At 66.5% G+C, this 23,438-nt stretch overlaps 2 long non-coding RNA genes and 4 other non-coding genes across 6 annotated transcripts; all 6 read left to right on the top strand.

Moving 5' to 3' along the window:
* The first annotated feature begins 1,077 nt into the window (after positions 1-1,077).
* RNA45SN4 (RNA, 45S pre-ribosomal N4) lies at positions 1,078-14,450 on the top strand. The gene has a single exon (NR_146117.1). It is a non-coding gene; the product is annotated as an RNA, 45S pre-ribosomal N4 (ribosomal RNA).
* Positions 4,736-6,604, top strand: RNA18SN4 (RNA, 18S ribosomal N4). Its single transcript, NR_146119.1, has one exon. It is a non-coding gene; the product is annotated as an RNA, 18S ribosomal RNA N4 (ribosomal RNA).
* On the top strand, positions 7,682-7,837 carry RNA5-8SN4 (RNA, 5.8S ribosomal N4). The gene has a single exon (NR_146120.1). It is a non-coding gene; the product is annotated as an RNA, 5.8S ribosomal RNA N4 (ribosomal RNA).
* RNA28SN4 (RNA, 28S ribosomal N4) lies at positions 9,009-14,085 on the top strand. The gene has a single exon (NR_146118.1). It is a non-coding gene; the product is annotated as an RNA, 28S ribosomal RNA N4 (ribosomal RNA).
* Positions 14,451-16,757: 2,307 nt separating the features above from the next.
* Positions 16,758-19,462, top strand: LOC105379549 (uncharacterized). Its single transcript, XR_951367.3, has 3 exons — positions 16,758-18,329; positions 18,723-18,819; positions 18,947-19,462. It is a non-coding gene; the product is annotated as an uncharacterized LOC105379549 (long non-coding RNA).
* A 321-nt stretch (positions 19,463-19,783) lies between these two features.
* LOC107987393 (uncharacterized) lies at positions 19,784-22,271 on the top strand. The gene is made up of 3 exons (XR_001756152.2): positions 19,784-19,934; positions 20,096-20,187; positions 21,896-22,271. It is a non-coding gene; the product is annotated as an uncharacterized LOC107987393 (long non-coding RNA).
* Positions 22,272-23,438: the final 1,167 nt, after the last annotated feature.

Below are 23,438 nucleotides of genomic sequence, written 5' to 3' on the forward strand. Positions count from 1 at the left end.
CTCTGTCGCGGTCGAGGCAGAGACGCGTTTTGGGCACCGTTTGTGTGGGGTTGGGGCAGAGGGGCTGCGTTTTCGGCCTCGGGAAGAGCTTCTCGACTCACGGTTTCGCTTTCGCGGTCCACGGGCCGCCCTGCCAGCCGGATCTGTCTCGCTGACGTCCGCGGCGGTTGTCGGGCTCCATCTGGCGGCCGCTTTGAGATCGTGCTCTCGGCTTCCGGAGCTGCGGTGGCAGCTGCCGAGGGAGGGGACCGTCCCCGCTGTGAGCTAGGCAGAGCTCCGGAAAGCCCGCGGTCGTCAGCCCGGCTGGCCCGGTGGCGCCAGAGCTGTGGCGCGTCGCTTGTGAGTCACAGCTCTGGCGTGCAGGTTTATGTGGGGGAGAGGCTGTCGCTGCGCTTCTGGGCCCGCGGCGGGCGTGGGGCTGCCCGGGCCGGTCGACCAGCGCGCCGTAGCTCCCGAGGCCCGAGCCGCGACCCGCGGGGACCCGCCGCGCGTGGCGCGGGAGGCTGGGGACGCCCTTCCCGGCCCGGTCGCGGGTCCGCGCTCATCCTGGCCGTCTGAGGCGGCGGCCGAATTCGTTTCCGAGTCCCCGTGGGGAGCCGGGGACCGTCCCGCCCCCGTCCCCCGGGTGCCGGGGAGCGGTCCCCGGGCCGGGCCGCGGTCCCTCTGCCGCGATCCTTTCTGGCGAGTCCCCGTGCGGAGTCGGAGAGCGCTCCCTGAGCGCGCGTGCGGCCCGAGAGGTCGCGCCTGGCCGGCCTTCGGTCCCTCGTGTGTCCCGGTCGTAGGAGGGGCCGGCCGAAAATGCTTCCGGCTCCCGCTCTGGAGACACGGGCCGGCCCCCTGCGTGTGGCACGGGCGGCCGGGAGGGCGTCCCCGGCCCGGCGCTGCTCCCGCGTGTGTCCTGGGGTTGACCAGAGGGCCCCGGGCGCTCCGTGTGTGGCTGCGATGGTGGCGTTTTTGGGGACAGGTGTCCGTGTCGCGCGTCGCCTGGGCCGGCGGCGTGGTCGGTGACGCGACCTCCCGGCCCCGGGGGAGGTATATCTTTCGCTCCGAGTCGGCATTTTGGGCCGCCGGGTTATTGCTGACACGCTGTCCTCTGGCGACCTGTCGCTGGAGAGGTTGGGCCTCCGGATGCGCGCGGGGCTCTGGCCTACCGGTGACCCGGCTAGCCGGCCGCGCTCCTGCTTGAGCCGCCTGCCGGGGCCCGCGGGCCTGCTGTTCTCTCGCGCGTCCGAGCGTCCCGACTCCCGGTGCCGGCCCGGGTCCGGGTCTCTGACCCACCCGGGGGCGGCGGGGAAGGCGGCGAGGGCCACCGTGCCCCCGTGCGCTCTCCGCTGCGGGCGCCCGGGGCGGCCGCGACAACCCCACCCCGCTGGCTCCGTGCCGTGCGTGTCAGGCGTTCTCGTCTCCGCGGGGTTGTCCGCCGCCCCTTCCCCGGAGTGGGGGGTTGGCCGGAGCCGATCGGCTCGCTGGCCGGCCGGCCGGCCTCCGCTCCCGGGGGGCTCTTCGTGATCGATGTGGTGACGTCGTGCTCTCCCGGGCCGGGTCCGAGCCGCGACGGGCGAGGGGCGGACGTTCGTGGCGAACGGGACCGTCCTTCTCGCTCCGCCCCGCGGGGGTCCCCTCGTCTCTCCTCTCCCCGCCCGCCGGCGGTGCGTGTGGGAAGGCGTGGGGTGCGGACCCCGGCCCGACCTCGCCGTCCCGCCCGCCGCCTTCTGCGTCGCGGGTGCGGGCCGGCGGGGTCCTCTGACGCGGCAGACAGCCCTCGCTGTCGCCTCCAGTGGTTGTCGACTTGCGGGCGGCCCCCCTCCGCGGCGGTGGGGGTGCCGTCCCGCCGGCCCGTCGTGCTGCCCTCTCGGGGGGTTTGCGCGAGCGTCGGCTCCGCCTGGGCCCTTGCGGTGCTCCTGGAGCGCTCCGGGTTGTCCCTCAGGTGCCCGAGGCCGAACGGTGGTGTGTCGTTCCCGCCCCCGGCGCCCCCTCCTCCGGTCGCCGCCGCGGTGTCCGCGCGTGGGTCCTGAGGGAGCTCGTCGGTGTGGGGTTCGAGGCGGTTTGAGTGAGACGAGACGAGACGCGCCCCTCCCACGCGGGGAAGGGCGCCCGCCTGCTCTCGGTGAGCGCACGTCCCGTGCTCCCCTCTGGCGGGTGCGCGCGGGCCGTGTGAGCGATCGCGGTGGGTTCGGGCCGGTGTGACGCGTGCGCCGGCCGGCCGCCGAGGGGCTGCCGTTCTGCCTCCGACCGGTCGTGTGTGGGTTGACTTCGGAGGCGCTCTGCCTCGGAAGGAAGGAGGTGGGTGGACGGGGGGGCCTGGTGGGGTTGCGCGCACGCGCGCACCGGCCGGGCCCCCGCCCTGAACGCGAACGCTCGAGGTGGCCGCGCGCAGGTGTTTCCTCGTACCGCAGGGCCCCCTCCCTTCCCCAGGCGTCCCTCGGCGCCTCTGCGGGCCCGAGGAGGAGCGGCTGGCGGGTGGGGGGAGTGTGACCCACCCTCGGTGAGAAAAGCCTTCTCTAGCGATCTGAGAGGCGTGCCTTGGGGGTACCGGATCCCCCGGGCCGCCGCCTCTGTCTCTGCCTCCGTTATGGTAGCGCTGCCGTAGCGACCCGCTCGCAGAGGACCCTCCTCCGCTTCCCCCTCGACGGGGTTGGGGGGGAGAAGCGAGGGTTCCGCCGGCCACCGCGGTGGTGGCCGAGTGCGGCTCGTCGCCTACTGTGGCCCGCGCCTCCCCCTTCCGAGTCGGGGGAGGATCCCGCCGGGCCGGGCCCGGCGTCCCAGCGGGTTGGGACGCGGCGGCCGGCGGGCGGTGGGTGTGCGCGCCCGGCGCTCTGTCCGGCGCGTGACTCCCTCCGCCGCGAGTCGGCTCTCCGCCCGCTCCCGTGCCGAGTCGTGACCGGTGCCGACGACCGCGTTTGCGTGGCACGGGGTCGGGCCCGCCTGGCCCTGGGAAAGCGTCCCACGGTGGGGGCGCGCCGGTCTCCCGGAGCGGGACCGGGTCGGAGGATGGACGAGAATCACGAGCGACGGTGGTGGTGGCGTGTCGGGTTCGTGGCTGCGGTCGCTCCGGGGCCCCCGGTGGCGGGGCCCCGGGGCTCGCGAGGCGGTTCTCGGTGGGGGCCGAGGGCCGTCCGGCGTCCCAGGCGGGGCGCCGCGGGACCGCCCTCGTGTCTGTGGCGGTGGGATCCCGCGGCCGTGTTTTCCTGGTGGCCCGGCCGTGCCTGAGGTTTCTCCCCGAGCCGCCGCCTCTGCGGGCTCCCGGGTGCCCTTGCCCTCGCGGTCCCCGGCCCTCGCCCGTCTGTGCCCTCTTCCCCGCCCGCCGCCCGCCGATCCTCTTCTTCCCCCCGAGCGGCTCACCGGCTTCACGTCCGTTGGTGGCCCCGCCTGGGACCGAACCCGGCACCGCCTCGTGGGGCGCCGCCGCCGGCCACTGATCGGCCCGGCGTCCGCGTCCCCCGGCGCGCGCCTTGGGGACCGGGTCGGTGGCGCCCCGCGTGGGGCCCGGTGGGCTTCCCGGAGGGTTCCGGGGGTCGGCCTGCGGCGCGTGCGGGGGAGGAGACGGTTCCGGGGGACCGGCCGCGACCGCGGCGGCGGTGGTGGGGGGAGCCGCGGGGATCGCCGAGGGCCGGTCGGCCGCCCCGGGTGCCGCGCGGTGCCGCCGGCGGCGGTGAGGCCCCGCGCGTGCGTCCCGGCTGCGGTCGGCCGCGCTCGAGGGGTCCCCGTGGCGTCCCCTTCCCCGCCGGCCGCCTTTCTCGCGCCTTCCCCGTCGCCCCGGCCTCGCCCGTGGTCTCTCGTCTTCTCCCGGCCCGCTCTTCCGAACCGGGTCGGCGCGTCCCCCGGGTGCGCCTCGCTTCCCGGGCCTGCCGCGGCCCTTCCCCGAGGCGTCCGTCCCGGGCGTCGGCGTCGGGGAGAGCCCGTCCTCCCCGCGTGGCGTCGCCCCGTTCGGCGCGCGCGTGCGCCCGAGCGCGGCCCGGTGGTCCCTCCCGGACAGGCGTTCGTGCGACGTGTGGCGTGGGTCGACCTCCGCCTTGCCGGTCGCTCGCCCTCTCCCCGGGTCGGGGGGTGGGGCCCGGGCCGGGGCCTCGGCCCCGGTCGCGGTCCCCCGTCCCGGGCGGGGGCGGGCGCGCCGGCCGGCCTCGGTCGCCCTCCCTTGGCCGTCGTGTGGCGTGTGCCACCCCTGCGCCCGCGCCCGCCGGCGGGGCTCGGAGCCGGGCTTCGGCCGGGCCCCGGGCCCTCGACCGGGACCGGTGCGCGGGCGCTGCGGCCGCACGGCGCGACTGTCCCCGGGCCGGGCACCGCGGTCCGCCTCTCGCTCGCCGCCCGGACGTCGGGGCCGCCCCGCGGGGCGGGCGGAGCGCCGTCCCCGCCTCGCCGCCGCCCGCGGGCGCCGGCCGCGCGCGCGCGCGCGTGGCCGCCGGTCCCTCCCGGCCGCCGGGCGCGGGTCGGGCCGTCCGCCTCCTCGCGGGCGGGCGCGACGAAGAAGCGTCGCGGGTCTGTGGCGCGGGGCCCCGGTGGTCGTGTCGCGTGGGGGGCGGGTGGTTGGGGCGTCCGGTTCGCCGCGCCCCGCCCCGGCCCCACCGGTCCCGGCCGCCGCCCCCGCGCCCGCTCGCTCCCTCCCGTCCGCCCGTCCGCGGCCCGTCCGTCCGTCCGTCCGTCGTCCTCCTCGCTTGCGGGGCGCCGGGCCCGTCCTCGCGAGGCCCCCCGGCCGGCCGTCCGGCCGCGTCGGGGCCTCGCCGCGCTCTACCTTACCTACCTGGTTGATCCTGCCAGTAGCATATGCTTGTCTCAAAGATTAAGCCATGCATGTCTAAGTACGCACGGCCGGTACAGTGAAACTGCGAATGGCTCATTAAATCAGTTATGGTTCCTTTGGTCGCTCGCTCCTCTCCTACTTGGATAACTGTGGTAATTCTAGAGCTAATACATGCCGACGGGCGCTGACCCCCTTCGCGGGGGGGATGCGTGCATTTATCAGATCAAAACCAACCCGGTCAGCCCCTCTCCGGCCCCGGCCGGGGGGCGGGCGCCGGCGGCTTTGGTGACTCTAGATAACCTCGGGCCGATCGCACGCCCCCCGTGGCGGCGACGACCCATTCGAACGTCTGCCCTATCAACTTTCGATGGTAGTCGCCGTGCCTACCATGGTGACCACGGGTGACGGGGAATCAGGGTTCGATTCCGGAGAGGGAGCCTGAGAAACGGCTACCACATCCAAGGAAGGCAGCAGGCGCGCAAATTACCCACTCCCGACCCGGGGAGGTAGTGACGAAAAATAACAATACAGGACTCTTTCGAGGCCCTGTAATTGGAATGAGTCCACTTTAAATCCTTTAACGAGGATCCATTGGAGGGCAAGTCTGGTGCCAGCAGCCGCGGTAATTCCAGCTCCAATAGCGTATATTAAAGTTGCTGCAGTTAAAAAGCTCGTAGTTGGATCTTGGGAGCGGGCGGGCGGTCCGCCGCGAGGCGAGCCACCGCCCGTCCCCGCCCCTTGCCTCTCGGCGCCCCCTCGATGCTCTTAGCTGAGTGTCCCGCGGGGCCCGAAGCGTTTACTTTGAAAAAATTAGAGTGTTCAAAGCAGGCCCGAGCCGCCTGGATACCGCAGCTAGGAATAATGGAATAGGACCGCGGTTCTATTTTGTTGGTTTTCGGAACTGAGGCCATGATTAAGAGGGACGGCCGGGGGCATTCGTATTGCGCCGCTAGAGGTGAAATTCTTGGACCGGCGCAAGACGGACCAGAGCGAAAGCATTTGCCAAGAATGTTTTCATTAATCAAGAACGAAAGTCGGAGGTTCGAAGACGATCAGATACCGTCGTAGTTCCGACCATAAACGATGCCGACCGGCGATGCGGCGGCGTTATTCCCATGACCCGCCGGGCAGCTTCCGGGAAACCAAAGTCTTTGGGTTCCGGGGGGAGTATGGTTGCAAAGCTGAAACTTAAAGGAATTGACGGAAGGGCACCACCAGGAGTGGAGCCTGCGGCTTAATTTGACTCAACACGGGAAACCTCACCCGGCCCGGACACGGACAGGATTGACAGATTGATAGCTCTTTCTCGATTCCGTGGGTGGTGGTGCATGGCCGTTCTTAGTTGGTGGAGCGATTTGTCTGGTTAATTCCGATAACGAACGAGACTCTGGCATGCTAACTAGTTACGCGACCCCCGAGCGGTCGGCGTCCCCCAACTTCTTAGAGGGACAAGTGGCGTTCAGCCACCCGAGATTGAGCAATAACAGGTCTGTGATGCCCTTAGATGTCCGGGGCTGCACGCGCGCTACACTGACTGGCTCAGCGTGTGCCTACCCTACGCCGGCAGGCGCGGGTAACCCGTTGAACCCCATTCGTGATGGGGATCGGGGATTGCAATTATTCCCCATGAACGAGGAATTCCCAGTAAGTGCGGGTCATAAGCTTGCGTTGATTAAGTCCCTGCCCTTTGTACACACCGCCCGTCGCTACTACCGATTGGATGGTTTAGTGAGGCCCTCGGATCGGCCCCGCCGGGGTCGGCCCACGGCCCTGGCGGAGCGCTGAGAAGACGGTCGAACTTGACTATCTAGAGGAAGTAAAAGTCGTAACAAGGTTTCCGTAGGTGAACCTGCGGAAGGATCATTAACGGAGCCCGGAGGGCGAGGCCCGCGGCGGCGCCGCCGCCGCCGCGCGCTTCCCTCCGCACACCCACCCCCCCACCGCGACGCGGCGCGTGCGCGGGCGGGGCCCGCGTGCCCGTTCGTTCGCTCGCTCGTTCGTTCGCCGCCCGGCCCCGCCGGCCGCGAGAGCCGGAGAACTCGGGAGGGAGACGGGGGGGAGAGAGAGAGAGAGAGAGAGAGAAAGAAGGGCGTGTCGTTGGTGTGCGCGTGTCGTGGGGCCGGCGGGCGGCGGGGAGCGGTCCCCGGCCGCGGCCCCGACGACGTGGGTGTCGGCGGGCGCGGGGGCGGTTCTCGGCGGCGTCGCGGCGGGTCTGGGGGGGTCTCGGTGCCCTCCTCCCCGCCGGGGCCCGTCGTCCGGCCCCGCCGCGCCGGCTCCCCGTCTTCGGGGCCGGCCGGATTCCCGTCGCCTCCGCCGCGCCGCTCCGCGCCGCCGGGCACGGCCCCGCTCGCTCTCCCCGGCCTTCCCGCTAGGGCGTCTCGAGGGTCGGGGGCCGGACGCCGGTCCCCTCCCCCGCCTCCTCGTCCGCCCCCCCGCCGTCCAGGTACCTAGCGCGTTCCGGCGCGGAGGTTTAAAGACCCCTTGGGGGGATCGCCCGTCCGCCCGTGGGTCGGGGGCGGTGGTGGGCCCGCGGGGGAGTCCCGTCGGGAGGGGCCCGGCCCCTCCCGCGCCTCCACCGCGGACTCCGCTCCCCGGCCGGGGCCGCGCCGCCGCCGACGCCGCGGCGGCCGTCGGGTGGGGGCTTTACCCGGCGGCCGTCGCGCGCCTGCCGCGCGTGTGGCGTGCGCCCCGCGCCGTGGGGGCGGGAACCCCCGGGCGCCTGTGGGGTGGTGTCCGCGCTCGCCCCCGCGTGGGCGGCGCGCGCCTCCCCGTGGTGTGAAACCTTCCGACCCCTCTCCGGAGTCCGGTCCCGTTCGCTGTCTCGTCTGGCCGGCCTGAGGCAACCCCCTCTCCTCTTGGGCGGGGGGGGGGGGACGTGCCGCGCCAGGAAGGGCCTCCTCCCGGTGCGTCGTCGGGAGCGCCCTCGCCAAATCGACCTCGTACGACTCTTAGCGGTGGATCACTCGGCTCGTGCGTCGATGAAGAACGCAGCTAGCTGCGAGAATTAATGTGAATTGCAGGACACATTGATCATCGACACTTCGAACGCACTTGCGGCCCCGGGTTCCTCCCGGGGCTACGCCTGTCTGAGCGTCGCTTGCCGATCAATCGCCCCCGGGGGTGCCTCCGGGCTCCTCGGGGTGCGCGGCTGGGGGTTCCCTCGCAGGGCCCGCCGGGGGCCCTCCGTCCCCCTAAGCGCAGACCCGGCGGCGTCCGCCCTCCCCTTGCCGCCGCGCCCGCCCCTTCCCCCTCCCCCCGCGGGCCCTGCGTGGTCACGCGTCGGGTGGCGGGGGGGAGAGGGGGGCGCGCCCGGCTGAGAGAGACGGGGAGGGCGGCGCCGCCGCCGCCCGCGAAGACGGAGAGGGAAAGAGAGAGCCGGCTCGGGCCGAGTTCCCGTGGCCGCCGCCTGCGGTCCGGGTTCCTCCCTCGGGGGGCTCCCTCGCGCCGCGCGCGGCTCGGGGTTCGGGGTTCGTCGGCCCCGGCCGGGTGGAAGGTCCCGTGCCCGTCGTCGTCGTCGTCGTCGCGCGTCGTCGGCGGTGGGGGCGTGTTGCGTGCGGTGTGGTGGTGGGGGAGGAGGAAGGCGGGTCCGGAAGGGGAAGGGTGCCGGCGGGGAGAGAGGGTCGGGGGAGCGCGTCCCGGTCGCCGCGGTTCGCCGCCCGCCCCCGGTGGCGGCCCGGCGTCCGGCCGACCGCCGCTCCCGCGCCCCTCCTCCTCCCCGCCGCCCCTCCTCCGAGGCCCCGCCCGTCCTCCTCGCCCTCCCCGCGCGTACGCGCGCGCGCCCGCCCGCCCGGCTCGCCTCGCGGCGCGTCGGCCGGGGCCGGGAGCCCGCCCCGCGGCCCGCCCGGCCGCGCCCGTGGCCGCGGCGCCGGGGTTCGCGTGTCCCCGGCGGCGACCCGCGGGACGCCGCGGTGTCGTCCGCCGTCGCGCGCCCGCCTCCGGCTCGCGGCCGCGCCGCGCCGCGCCGGGGCCCCGTCCCGAGCTTCCGCGTCGGGGCGGGGCGGCTCCGCCGCCGCGTCCTCGGACCCGTCCCCCCGACCTCCGCGGGGGAGACGGGTCGGGGCGTGCGGCGCCCGTCCCGCCCCCGGCCCGTGCCCCTCCCTCCGGTCGTCCCGCTCCGGCGGGGCGGCGCGGGGGTGCCGTCGGCCGCGCGCTCTCTCTCCCGTCGCCTCTCCCCCTCGCCGGGCCCGTCTCCCGACGGAGCGTCGGGCGGGCGGTCGGGCCGGCGCGATTCCGTCCGTCCGTCCGCCGAGCGGCCCGTCCCCCTCCGAGACGCGACCTCAGATCAGACGTGGCGACCCGCTGAATTTAAGCATATTAGTCAGCGGAGGAGAAGAAACTAACCAGGATTCCCTCAGTAACGGCGAGTGAACAGGGAAGAGCCCAGCGCCGAATCCCCGCCCCGCGGCGGGGCGCGGGACATGTGGCGTACGGAAGACCCGCTCCCCGGCGCCGCTCGTGGGGGGCCCAAGTCCTTCTGATCGAGGCCCAGCCCGTGGACGGTGTGAGGCCGGTAGCGGCCCCCGGCGCGCCGGGCCCGGGTCTTCCCGGAGTCGGGTTGCTTGGGAATGCAGCCCAAAGCGGGTGGTAAACTCCATCTAAGGCTAAATACCGGCACGAGACCGATAGTCAACAAGTACCGTAAGGGAAAGTTGAAAAGAACTTTGAAGAGAGAGTTCAAGAGGGCGTGAAACCGTTAAGAGGTAAACGGGTGGGGTCCGCGCAGTCCGCCCGGAGGATTCAACCCGGCGGCGGGTCCGGCCGTGTCGGCGGCCCGGCGGATCTTTCCCGCCCCCCGTTCCTCCCGACCCCTCCACCCGCCCTCCCTTCCCCCGCCGCCCCTCCTCCTCCTCCCCGGAGGGGGCGGGCTCCGGCGGGTGCGGGGGTGGGCGGGCGGGGCCGGGGGTGGGGTCGGCGGGGGACCGTCCCCCGACCGGCGACCGGCCGCCGCCGGGCGCATTTCCACCGCGGCGGTGCGCCGCGACCGGCTCCGGGACGGCTGGGAAGGCCCGGCGGGGAAGGTGGCTCGGGGGGCCCCGTCCGTCCGTCCGTCCGTCCTCCTCCTCCCCCGTCTCCGCCCCCCGGCCCCGCGTCCTCCCTCGGGAGGGCGCGCGGGTCGGGGCGGCGGCGGCGGCGGCGGTGGCGGCGGCGGCGGCGGCGGCGGGACCGAAACCCCCCCCGAGTGTTACAGCCCCCCCGGCAGCAGCACTCGCCGAATCCCGGGGCCGAGGGAGCGAGACCCGTCGCCGCGCTCTCCCCCCTCCCGGCGCCCACCCCCGCGGGGAATCCCCCGCGAGGGGGGTCTCCCCCGCGGGGGCGCGCCGGCGTCTCCTCGTGGGGGGGCCGGGCCACCCCTCCCACGGCGCGACCGCTCTCCCACCCCTCCTCCCCGCGCCCCCGCCCCGGCGACGGGGGGGGTGCCGCGCGCGGGTCGGGGGGCGGGGCGGACTGTCCCCAGTGCGCCCCGGGCGGGTCGCGCCGTCGGGCCCGGGGGAGGTTCTCTCGGGGCCACGCGCGCGTCCCCCGAAGAGGGGGACGGCGGAGCGAGCGCACGGGGTCGGCGGCGACGTCGGCTACCCACCCGACCCGTCTTGAAACACGGACCAAGGAGTCTAACACGTGCGCGAGTCGGGGGCTCGCACGAAAGCCGCCGTGGCGCAATGAAGGTGAAGGCCGGCGCGCTCGCCGGCCGAGGTGGGATCCCGAGGCCTCTCCAGTCCGCCGAGGGCGCACCACCGGCCCGTCTCGCCCGCCGCGCCGGGGAGGTGGAGCACGAGCGCACGTGTTAGGACCCGAAAGATGGTGAACTATGCCTGGGCAGGGCGAAGCCAGAGGAAACTCTGGTGGAGGTCCGTAGCGGTCCTGACGTGCAAATCGGTCGTCCGACCTGGGTATAGGGGCGAAAGACTAATCGAACCATCTAGTAGCTGGTTCCCTCCGAAGTTTCCCTCAGGATAGCTGGCGCTCTCGCAGACCCGACGCACCCCCGCCACGCAGTTTTATCCGGTAAAGCGAATGATTAGAGGTCTTGGGGCCGAAACGATCTCAACCTATTCTCAAACTTTAAATGGGTAAGAAGCCCGGCTCGCTGGCGTGGAGCCGGGCGTGGAATGCGAGTGCCTAGTGGGCCACTTTTGGTAAGCAGAACTGGCGCTGCGGGATGAACCGAACGCCGGGTTAAGGCGCCCGATGCCGACGCTCATCAGACCCCAGAAAAGGTGTTGGTTGATATAGACAGCAGGACGGTGGCCATGGAAGTCGGAATCCGCTAAGGAGTGTGTAACAACTCACCTGCCGAATCAACTAGCCCTGAAAATGGATGGCGCTGGAGCGTCGGGCCCATACCCGGCCGTCGCCGGCAGTCGAGAGTGGACGGGAGCGGCGGGGGCGGCGCGCGCGCGCGCGCGTGTGGTGTGCGTCGGAGGGCGGCGGCGGCGGCGGCGGCGGGGGTGTGGGGTCCTCCCCCGCCCCCCCCCCCACGCCTCCTCCCCTCCTCCCGCCCACGCCCCGCTCCCCGCCCCCGGAGCCCCGCGGACGCTACGCCGCGACGAGTAGGAGGGCCGCTGCGGTGAGCCTTGAAGCCTAGGGCGCGGGCCCGGGTGGAGCCGCCGCAGGTGCAGATCTTGGTGGTAGTAGCAAATATTCAAACGAGAACTTTGAAGGCCGAAGTGGAGAAGGGTTCCATGTGAACAGCAGTTGAACATGGGTCAGTCGGTCCTGAGAGATGGGCGAGCGCCGTTCCGAAGGGACGGGCGATGGCCTCCGTTGCCCTCGGCCGATCGAAAGGGAGTCGGGTTCAGATCCCCGAATCCGGAGTGGCGGAGATGGGCGCCGCGAGGCGTCCAGTGCGGTAACGCGACCGATCCCGGAGAAGCCGGCGGGAGCCCCGGGGAGAGTTCTCTTTTCTTTGTGAAGGGCAGGGCGCCCTGGAATGGGTTCGCCCCGAGAGAGGGGCCCGTGCCTTGGAAAGCGTCGCGGTTCCGGCGGCGTCCGGTGAGCTCTCGCTGGCCCTTGAAAATCCGGGGGAGAGGGTGTAAATCTCGCGCCGGGCCGTACCCATATCCGCAGCAGGTCTCCAAGGTGAACAGCCTCTGGCATGTTGGAACAATGTAGGTAAGGGAAGTCGGCAAGCCGGATCCGTAACTTCGGGATAAGGATTGGCTCTAAGGGCTGGGTCGGTCGGGCTGGGGCGCGAAGCGGGGCTGGGCGCGCGCCGCGGCTGGACGAGGCGCCGCCGCCCCCCCCACGCCCGGGGCACCCCCCTCGCGGCCCTCCCCCGCCCCACCCCGCGCGCGCCGCTCGCTCCCTCCCCACCCCGCGCCCTCTCTCTCTCTCTCTCCCCCGCTCCCCGTCCTCCCCCCTCCCCGGGGGAGCGCCGCGTGGGGGCGGCGGCGGGGGGAGAAGGGTCGGGGCGGCAGGGGCCGGCGGCGGCCGCCGCGGGGCCCCGGCGGCGGGGGCACGGTCCCCCGCGAGGGGGGCCCGGGCACCCGGGGGGCCGGCGGCGGCGGCGACTCTGGACGCGAGCCGGGCCCTTCCCGTGGATCGCCCCAGCTGCGGCGGGCGTCGCGGCCGCCCCCGGGGAGCCCGGCGGGCGCCGGCGCGCCCCCCCCACCCCCACCCCACGTCTCGTCGCGCGCGCGTCCGCTGGGGGCGGGGAGCGGTCGGGCGGCGGCGGCGGTCGGCGGGCGGCGGGGCGGGGCGGTTCGTCCCCCCGCCCTACCCCCCCGGCCCCGTCCGCCCCCCGTTCCCCCCTCCTCCTCGGCGCGCGGCGGCGGCGGCGGCGGCGGGCGGCGGAGGGGCCGCGGGCCGGTCCCCCCCGCCGGGTCCGCCCCCGGGGCCGCGGTTCCGCGCGGCGCCTCGCCTCGGCCGGCGCCTAGCAGCCGACTTAGAACTGGTGCGGACCAGGGGAATCCGACTGTTTAATTAAAACAAAGCATCGCGAAGGCCCGCGGCGGGTGTTGACGCGATGTGATTTCTGCCCAGTGCTCTGAATGTCAAAGTGAAGAAATTCAATGAAGCGCGGGTAAACGGCGGGAGTAACTATGACTCTCTTAAGGTAGCCAAATGCCTCGTCATCTAATTAGTGACGCGCATGAATGGATGAACGAGATTCCCACTGTCCCTACCTACTATCCAGCGAAACCACAGCCAAGGGAACGGGCTTGGCGGAATCAGCGGGGAAAGAAGACCCTGTTGAGCTTGACTCTAGTCTGGCACGGTGAAGAGACATGAGAGGTGTAGAATAAGTGGGAGGCCCCCGGCGCCCCCCCGGTGTCCCCGCGAGGGGCCCGGGGCGGGGTCCGCCGGCCCTGCGGGCCGCCGGTGAAATACCACTACTCTGATCGTTTTTTCACTGACCCGGTGAGGCGGGGGGGCGAGCCCCGAGGGGCTCTCGCTTCTGGCGCCAAGCGCCCGGCCGCGCGCCGGCCGGGCGCGACCCGCTCCGGGGACAGTGCCAGGTGGGGAGTTTGACTGGGGCGGTACACCTGTCAAACGGTAACGCAGGTGTCCTAAGGCGAGCTCAGGGAGGACAGAAACCTCCCGTGGAGCAGAAGGGCAAAAGCTCGCTTGATCTTGATTTTCAGTACGAATACAGACCGTGAAAGCGGGGCCTCACGATCCTTCTGACCTTTTGGGTTTTAAGCAGGAGGTGTCAGAAAAGTTACCACAGGGATAACTGGCTTGTGGCGGCCAAGCGTTCATAGCGACGTCGCTTTTTGATCCTTCGATGTCGGCTCTTCCTATCATTGTGAAGCAGAATTCACCAAGCGTTGGATTGTTCACCCACTAATAGGGAACGTGAGCTGGGTTTAGACCGTCGTGAGACAGGTTAGTTTTACCCTACTGATGATGTGTTGTTGCCATGGTAATCCTGCTCAGTACGAGAGGAACCGCAGGTTCAGACATTTGGTGTATGTGCTTGGCTGAGGAGCCAATGGGGCGAAGCTACCATCTGTGGGATTATGACTGAACGCCTCTAAGTCAGAATCCCGCCCAGGCGGAACGATACGGCAGCGCCGCGGAGCCTCGGTTGGCCTCGGATAGCCGGTCCCCCGCCTGTCCCCGCCGGCGGGCCGCCCCCCCCCTCCACGCGCCCCGCGCGCGCGGGAGGGCGCGTGCCCCGCCGCGCGCCGGGACCGGGGTCCGGTGCGGAGTGCCCTTCGTCCTGGGAAACGGGGCGCGGCCGGAAAGGCGGCCGCCCCCTCGCCCGTCACGCACCGCACGTTCGTGGGGAACCTGGCGCTAAACCATTCGTAGACGACCTGCTTCTGGGTCGGGGTTTCGTACGTAGCAGAGCAGCTCCCTCGCTGCGATCTATTGAAAGTCAGCCCTCGACACAAGGGTTTGTCCGCGCGCGCGCGCGCGCGCGTGCGTGCGGGGGGCCCGGCGGGGCGTGCGCGTCCGGCGCCGTCCGTCCTTCCGTTCGTCTTCCTCCCTCCCGGCCTCTCCCGCCGACCGCGGGCGTGGTGGTGGGGGTGGGGGGGGGAGGGCGCGCGACCCCGGTCGGCGCGCCCCGCTTCTTCGGTTCCCGCCTCCTCCCCGTTCACCGCCGGGGCGGCTCGTCCGCTCCGGGCCGGGACGGGGTCCGGGGAGCGTGGTTTGGGAGCCGCGGAGGCGGCCGCGCCGAGCCGGGCCCGTGGCCCGCCGGTCCCCGTCCCGGGGGTTGGCCGCGCGGGCCCCGGTGGGGCGGCCACCCGGGGTCCCGGCCCTCGCGCGTCCTTCCTCCTCGCTCCTCCGCACGGGTCGACCAGCAGACCGCGGGTGGCGGGCGGCGGGCGGCGAGGCCCCACGGGGCGTCCCCGCACCCGGCCGACCTCCGCTCGCGACCTCTCCTCGGTCGGGCCTCCGGGGTCGACCGCCTGCCGCCCGCGGGCGTGAGACTCAGCCGGCGTCTCGCCGTGTCCCGGGTCGACCGGCGGGCCTTCTCCACCGAGCGGCGTGTAGGAGTGCCCGTCGGGACGAACCGCAACCGGAGCGTCCCCGTCTCGGTCGGCACCTCCGGGGTCGACCAGCTGCCGCCCGCGAGCTCCGGACTTAGCCGGCGCCTGCACGTGTCCCGGGTCGACCAGCAGGCGGCCGCCGGACGCTGCGGCGCACCGACGCGAGGGCGTCGATTCCCGTTCGCGCGCCCGCGACCTCCACCGGCCTCGGCCCGCGGTGGAGCTGGGACCACGCGGAACTCCCTCTCCCACATTTTTTTCAGCCCCACCGCGAGTTTGCGTCCGCGGGACTTTTAAGAGGGAGTCACTGCTGCCGTCAGCCAGTAATGCTTCCTCCTTTTTTGCTTTTAGGTTTTGTCTTGCCTTTTTTTTTTTTTTTTTTTCTTTCTTTCTTTCTTTCTTTCTTTCTTTCTCGCTCTCGCTCTCTCCCTCCCTCGCTCGTTTTCTCTCTCTCTCGCTCTCTCCCTCGCTCGTTTTCTCTCTCTCTCTCTCTCTCTCTCTCTCTCTGTCTCTCGCTCTCGCCCTCTCTCTCTCTCTTTCTCTCTGTCTCTCTCTCTCTCTCTCTCTCTCTCTCTCTCTCTCTCTCTCTCTCTGTCGCTCTCGCCCTCTCGCTCTCTCTCTGTCTCTGTCTGTGTCTCTCTCTCTCCCTCCCTCCCCCCCTCCCTCCCTCCCTCCCTCCCTCCCCCCCCTTCCTTGGTGCCTTCTCGGCTCTTGAGACTTAGCCGCTGTCTCGCCGTGCCCCGGGTCGACCGGCGGGCCTTCTCCACCGAGCGGCGTGTAAGAGTGCCCGTCGGGACGAGCCGGACCCGCCGCGTCCCCGTCTCGGTCGGCACCTCCGGGGTCGACCAGCTGCCGCCCGCGAGCTCCGGACTTAGCCGGCGTCTGCACGTGTCCCGGGTCGACCAGCAGGCGGCCGCCGGACGCTGCGGCGCACCGACGCGAGGGCGCTGATTCCCGTTCACGCGCCCGCGACCTCCACCGGCCTCGGCCCGCCGTGGAGCTGGGACCACGCGGAACTCCCTCTCCTACATTTTTTTCAGCCCCACTGCGAGTTTGCGTCCGCGGGACTTTTAAGAGGGAGTCACTGCTGCCGTCAGCCAGTACTGCTTCCTCCTTTTTTGCTTTTAGGTTTTGTCTTGCCTTTTTTTTTTTTTTTTTTTTTTTCTTTCTTTCTTTCTTTCTTTCTTTCTTTCTTTCTTTCTTTCTCGCTCTCGCTCTCGCTCTCTCGCTCTCTCCCTCGCTCGTTTTCTTTCTCTTTCTCTTTCTCTCTCTCTCTCTCTGTCTCTCGCTCTCGCCCTCTCTCTCTCTCTCTTTCTCTCTGTCTCTCTCTGTCTCTCTCTCTCTCTCTCTCTCCCCCTCCCTCCCTCTCTCCCCTTCCTTGGTGCCTTCTCGGCTCTTGAGACTTAGCCGCTGTCTCGCCGTGTCCCGGGTCGACCGGCGGGCCTTCTCCACCGAGCGGCGTGTAAGAGTGCCCGTCGGGACGAGCCGGACCCGCCGCGTCCCCGTCTCGGTCGGCACCTCCGGGGTCGACCAGCTGCCGCCCGCGAGCTCCGGACTTAGCCGGCGTCTGCACGTGTCCCGGGTCGACCAGCAGGCGGCCGCCGGACGCTGCGGCGCACCGACGCGAGGGCGCTGATTCCCGTTCACGCGCCCGCGACCTCCACCGGCCTCGGCCCGCCGTGGAGCTGGGACCACGCGGAACTCCCTCTCCTACATTTTTTTCAGCCCCACTGCGAGTTTGCGTCCGCGGGACTTTTAAGAGGGAGTCACTGCTGCCGTCAGCCAGTACTGCTTCCTCCTTTTTTGCTTTTAGGTTTTGTCTTGCCTTTTTTTTTTTTTTTTTTTTTTCTTTCTTTCTTTCTTTCTTTCTTTCTTTCTTTCTTTCTTTCTCGCTCTCGCTCTCGCTCTCTCGCTCTCTCCCTCGCTCGTTTTCTTTCTCTTTCTCTTTCTCTCTCTCTCTCTCTCTCTGTCTCTCGCTCTCGCCCTCTCTCTCTCTCTCTTTCTCTCTGTCTCTCTCTGTCTCTCTCTCTCTCTCTCTCTCTCCCCCTCCCTCCCTCTCTCCCCTTCCTTGGTGCCTTCTCGGCTCTTGAGACTTAGCCGCTGTCTCGCCGTGTCCCGGGTCGACCGGCGGGCCTTCTCCACCGAGCGGCGTGTAAGAGTGCCCGTCGGGACGAACCGCAACCGGAGCGTCCCCGTCTCGGTCGGCACCTCCGGGGTCGACCAGCTGCCGCCCGCGAGCTCTGGACTTAGCCGGCGCCTGCACGTGTCCCGGGTCGACCAGCAGGCGGCCGCCGGACGCTGCGGCGCACCGACGCGAGGGCGTCGACTCCGGTTCACGCGCCGGCGACCTCCACCGGCCTCGGCCCGCGGTGGAGCTGGGACCACGCGGAACTCCCTCTCCTACATTTTTTTCAGCCCCACTGCGAGTTTGCGTCCGCGGGACTTTTAAGAGGGAGTCACTGCTGCCGTCAGCCAGTAATGCTTCCTCCTTTTTTGCTTTTTGGTTTTGCCTTGCGTTTTCTTTCTTTCTTTCTTTCTTTCTTTCTTTCTTTCTTTCTTTCTCTCTCTCTCTCTCTCTCTCTCTCTCTCTCTGTCTCTCTCCCCTCCCTCCCTCCTTGGTGCCTTCTCGGCTCGCTGCTGCTGCTGCCTCTGCCTCCACGGTTCAAGCAAACAGCAAGTTTTCTATTTCGAGTAAAGACGTAATTTCACCATTTTGGCCGGGCTGGTCTCGAACTCCCGACCTAGTGATCCGCCCGCCTCGGCCTCCCAAAGACTGCTGGGAGTACAGATGTGAGCCACCATGCCCGGCCGATTCCTTCCTTTTTTCAATCTTATTTTCTGAACGCTGCCGTGTATGAACATACATCTACACATACACACACACACACACACACACACACACACACACACCCCGTAGTGATAAAACTATGTAAATGATATTTCCATAATTAATACGTTTATATTATGTTACTTTTAATGGATGAATATGTATCGAAGCCCCATTTCATTTACATACACGTGTATGTATATCCTTCCTCCCTTCCTTCATTCATTATTTATTAATAATTTTCGTTTATTTATTTTCTTTTCTTTTGGGGCCGGCCCGCCTGGTCTTCTGTCTCTGCGCTCTGGTGACCTCAGCCTCCCAAATAGCTGGGACTACAGGGATCTCTTAAGCCCGGGAGGGAGAGGTTAACGTGGGCTGTGATCGCACACTTCCACTCCAGCTTACGTGGGCTGCGGTGGGGTGGGGTGGGGTGGGGTGGGGTGGGGTGGGGTGGGGTGGGGTGCAGAGAAAACGATTGATTGCGATCTCAATTGCCTTTTAGCTTCATTCATACCCTGTTATTTGCTCGTTTATTCTCATGGGTTCTTCTGTGTCATTGTCACGTTCATCGTTTGCTTGCCTGCTTGCCTGTTTATTTCCTTCCTTCCTTCCTTCCTTCCTTCCTTCCTTCCTTCCTTCCTTCCTTCCCTCCCTTACTGGCAGGGTCTTCCTCTGTCTCTGCCGCCCAGGATCACCCCAACCTCAACGCTTTGGACCGACCAAACGGTCGTTCTGCCTCTGATCCCTCCCATCCCCATTACCTGAGACTACAGGCGCGCACCACCACACCGGCTGACTTTTATGTTGTTTCTCATGTTTTCCGTAGGTAGGTATGTGTGTGTGTGTGTGTGTGTGTGTGTGTGTGTGTGTGTGTGTATATCTATGTATGTACGTATGTATGTATGTATGTGAGTGAGATGGGTTTCGGGGTTCTATCATGTTGCCCACGCTGGTCTCGAACTCCTGTCCTCAAGCAATCCGCCTGCCTGCCTCGGCCGCCCACACTGCTGCTATTACAGGCGTGAGACGCTGCGCCTGGCTCCTTCTACATTTGCCTGCCTGCCTGCCTGCCTGCCTGCCTGCCTGCCTGCCTGCCTGCCTGCCTGCCTGCCTGCCTATCAATCGTCTTCTTTTTAGTACGGATGTGCTCTCGCTTTATTGTCCATGCTCTGGGCACACGTGGTCTCTTTTCAAACTTCTATGATTATTATTATTGTAGGCGTCATCTCACGTGTCGAGGTGATCTCGAACTTTTAGGCTCCAGAGATCCTCCCGCATCGGCCTCCCGGAGTGCTGTGATGACACGCGTGGGCACGGTACGCTCTGGTCGTGTTTGTCGTGGGTCGGTTCTTTCCGTTTTTAATACGGGGACTGCGAACGAAGAAAATTTTCAGACGCATCTCACCGATCCGCCTTTTCGTTCTTTCTTTTTATTCTCTTTAGACGGAGTTTCACTCTTGTCGCCCAGGGTGGAGTACGATGGCGGCTCTCGGCTCACCGCACCCTCCGCCTCCCAGGTTCAAGTGATTCTCCTGCCTCAGCCTTCCCGAGTAGCTGGAATGACAGAGATGAGCCATCGTGCCCGGCTAATTTTTCTATTTTTAGTACAGATGGGGTTTCTCCATCTTGGTCAGGCTGGTCTTCAACTTCCGACCGTTGGAGAATCTTAACTTTCTTGGTGGTGGTTGTTTTCCTTTTTCTTTTTTTTTCTTTTCTTTTCTTTCCTTCTCCTCCCCCCCCCACCCCCCCTTGTCGTCCTCCTCCTCCTCCTCCTCCTCCTCCTCCTCCTCCTCTTTCATTTCTTTCAGCTGGGCTCTCCTACTTGTGTTGCTCTGTTGCTCACGCTGGTCTCAAACTCCTGGCCTTGACGCTTCTCCCGTCACATCCGCCGTCTGGTTGTTGAAATGAGCATCTCTCGTAAAATGGAAAAGATGAAAGAAATAAACACGAAGACGGAAAGCACGGTGTGAACGTTTCTCTTGCCGTCTCCCGGGGTGTACCTTGGACCCGGAAACACGGAGGGAGCTTGGCTGAGTGGGTTTTCGGTGCCGAAACCTCCCGAGGGCCTCCTTCCCTCTCCCCCTTGTCCCCGCTTCTCCCCCAGCCGAGGCTCCCACCGCCGCCCTGGCATTTTCCATAGGAGAGGTATGGGAGAGGACTGACACGCCTTCCAGATCTATATCCTGCCGGACGTCTCTGGCTCGGCGTGCCCCACCGGCTACCTGCCACCTTCCAGGGAGCTCTGAGGCGGATGCGACCCCCACCCCCCCGTCACGTCCCGCTACCCTCCCCCAGCTGGCCTTTGCCGGGCGACCCCAGGGGAACCGCGTTGATGCTGCCTTCGGATCCTCCGGCGAAGACTTCCACCGGATGCCCCGGGTGGGCCGGTTGGGATCAGACTGGACCACCCCGGACCGTGCTGTTCTTGGGGGTGGGTTGACGTACAGGGTGGACTGGCAGCCCCAGCATTGTAAAGGGTGCGTGGGTATGGAAATGTCACCTAGGATGCCCTCCTTCCCTTCGGTCTGCCTTCAGCTGCCTCAGGCGTGAAGACAACTTCCCATCGGAACCTCTTCTCTTCCCTTTCTCCAGCACACAGATGAGACGCACGAGAGGGAGAAACAGCTCAATAGATACCGCTGACCTTCATTTGTGGAATCCTCAGTCATCGACACACAAGACAGGTGACTAGGCAGGGACACAGATCAAACACTATTTCCGGGTCCTCGTGGTGGGATTGGTCTCTCTCTCTCTCTCTCTCTCGCACGCGCACGCGCGCACACACACACACAATTTCCATATCTAGTTCACAGAGCACACTCACTTCCCCTTTTCACAGTACGCAGGCTGAGTAAAACCCGCCCCACCCTCCACCCGTTGGCTGACGAAACCCCTTCTCTACAATTTATGAAAAAGATGATCTGGGCCGGGCACGCTAGCTCACGCCTGTCACTCCGGCACTTTGGGAGGCCGAGGCGGGTGGATCGCTTGGGGCCGGGAGTTCGAGACCAGGCTGGCCGACGTGGCGAAACCCCGTCTCTCTGAAAAATAGAACGATTAGCCGGGCCTGGTGGCGTGGGCTTGGAATCACGACCGCTCGGGAGACTGGGGCGGGCGACTTGTTCCAACCGGGGAGGCCGAGGTTGCGATGAGCTGAGATCGTGCCGTGGCGATGCGGCCTGGATGACGGAGCGAGACCCCGTCTCGAGAGAATCATGATGTTATTATAAGATGAGTTGTGCGCGGTGATGGCCGCCTGTAGTCGCGGCTACTCGGGAGGCTGAGACGAGGAGAAGATCACTTGAGGCCCCACAGGTCGAGGCTTCGGTCGGCCGTGACCCACTGTATCCTGGGCAGTCACCGGTCAAGGAGATATGCCCCTTCCCCATTTGCTTTTCTTTTCTTCCCTTCTCTTTTCTTCTTTTTGCTTCTCTTTTCTTTCTTTCTTTCTTTCTTTCTTTCTTTCTTTCTTTCTTTCTTTTTCTCTCTTCCCCTCTTTCTTTCCTGCCTTCCTGCCTTTCTTCTTTTCTTCTTTCCTCCCTTCCTCCCTTCCTTCTTTCCTCCCGCCTCAGCCTCCCAAAGTGCTGGGATGACTGGCGTGAGGCACCATGCCTGCTTGGCCCAAAGAGACCCTCTTGGAAAGTGAGACGCAGAGAGCGCCTTCCAGTGATCTCATTGACTGATTTAGAGACGGCATCTCGCTCCGTCACCCCGGCAGTGGTGCCGTCGTAACTCACTCCCTGCAGCGTGGACGCTCCTGGACTCGAGCGATCCTTCCACCTCAGCCTGCAGAGTACAGAGCCTGGGACCGCGGGCACGCGCCACTGTGCCCACACCGTTTTTAATTGTTTTTTTTTCCCCCGAGACAGAGTTTCACTCTCGTGGCCTAGACTGCAGTGCGGTGGCGCGATCTTGGCTCACCGCAACCTCTGCCTCCCGGTTTCAAGCGATTCTCCTGCATCGGCCTCCTGAGTAGCCGGGATTGCGGGCATGCGCTGCCACGTCTGGCTGATTTCGTATTTTTAGTGGAGACGGGGCTTCTCCATGTCGATCGGGCTGGTTTCGAACTCCCGACCTCAGGTGATCCGCCCTCCCCGGCCTCCGGAAGTGCTGGGATGACAGGCGTGAGCCACCGCGCCCGGCCTTCATTTTTAAATGTTTTCCCACAGACGGGGTCTCATCATTTCTTTGCAACCCTCCTGCCCGGCGTCTCAAAGTGCTGGCGTGACGGGCGTGAGCCACTGCGCCTGGACTCCGGGGAATGATTCACGACCACCATCGCTCTACTGATCCTTTCTTTCTTTCTTTCTTTCTTTCTTTCTTTCTTTCTTTCTTTCTTTCTTTCATTTATTGATGAATTATCTTATGATTTATTTGTGTACTTATTTTCAGACGGAGTCTCGCTCTGGGCGGGGCGGGGCGAGGCGAGGCGAGGCACAGCGCATCGCTTTGGAAGCCGCGGCAACGCCTTTCAAAGCCCCATTCGTATGCACAGAGCCTTATTCCCTTCCTGGAGTTGGAGCTGATGCCTTCCGTAGCCTTGGGCTTCTCTCCATTCGGAAGCTTTGACAGGCGCAACCCCACCCAGAGGCTGGCTGCGGCTGAGGATTAGGGGGTGTGTTGGGGCTGAAAACTGGGTCCCCTATTTTTGATACCTCAGCCGACACATCCCCCGACCGCCATCGCTTGCTCGCCCTCTGAGATCCCCCGCCTCCACCGCCTTGCAGGCTCATCTCTTACTTTCATTTCTTCCTTTCTTGCGTTTGAGGAGGGGGTGCGGGAATGAGGGTGTGTGTGGGGAGGGGGTGCGGGGTGGGGACGGAGGGGAGCGTCCTAAGGGTCGATTTAGTGTCATGCCTCTTTCACCACCACCACCACCGAAGATGACAGCAAGGATCGGCTAAATACCGCGTGTTCTCATCTAGAAGTGGGAACTTACAAATGACAGTTCTTGCATGGGCAGAACGAGGGGGACCGGGGACGCGGAAGCCTGCTTGAGGGAGGAGGGGTGGAAGGAGAGACAGCTTCAGGAAAAAACAAAACACGAATACTGTCGGACACAGCACTGACTACCCGGGTGATGAAATCATCTGCACACTGAACACCCCCGTCACAAGTTTACCTATGTCACAATCTTGCACATGTATGCTTGAACGACAAATAAAAGTTAGGGGGGAGAGAGGAGAGAGAGAGAGAGAGAGAGACAGAGAGAGACAGAGAGAGAGAGAGAGAGAGAGGAGGGAGAGAGAAAACGAAACACCACCTCCTTGACCTGAGTCAGGGGGTTTCTGGCCTTTTGGGAGAACGTTGAGCGACAATGCAGTATTTGGGCCCGTTCTTTTTTCTTCTTCTTCTTCTTTTCTTTCTTTTTTTTTTTTGGACTGAGTCTCTCTCGCTCTGTCACCCAGGCTGCGGTGCGGTGGCGCTCTCTCGGCTCACTGAAACCTCTGCTTCCCGGGTTCCAGTGATTCTTCTTCGGTAGCTGGGATTACAGGCGCACACCATGACGGCCGGCTCATATTCCTATTTTCAGTAGAGACGGGGTTTCTCCACGTTGGCCACGCTGGTCTCGAACTCCTGACCTCAAATGATCCGCCTTCCTGGGCCTCCCAAAGTGCTGGAAACGACAGGCCTGAGCCGCCGGGATTTCAGCCTTTAAAAGCGCGGGCCCTGCCACCTTTCGCTGCGGCCCTTACGCTCAGAATGACGTGTCCTCTCTGCCATAGGTTGACTCCTTGAGTCCCCTAGGCCATTGCACTGTAGCCTGGGCAGCAAGAGCCAAACTCCGTCCCCCCACCTCCCCGTGCACATAATAACTAACTAACTAACTAACAAACTAACTAACTAAACTAACTAAATAAATAAAATCTCTACACGTCACCTCTAAGTGTGTGTTCCCGTGAGGAGTGATTTCTAAGAAATGGCACTGTACACT

The sequence above is a fragment of the Homo sapiens genome (genome assembly GCF_000001405.40).
Source record: "Homo sapiens chromosome 22 unlocalized genomic scaffold, GRCh38.p14 Primary Assembly HSCHR22_UNLOCALIZED_CTG3".
Taxonomy (NCBI): Eukaryota; Metazoa; Chordata; class Mammalia; order Primates; family Hominidae; genus Homo; species Homo sapiens.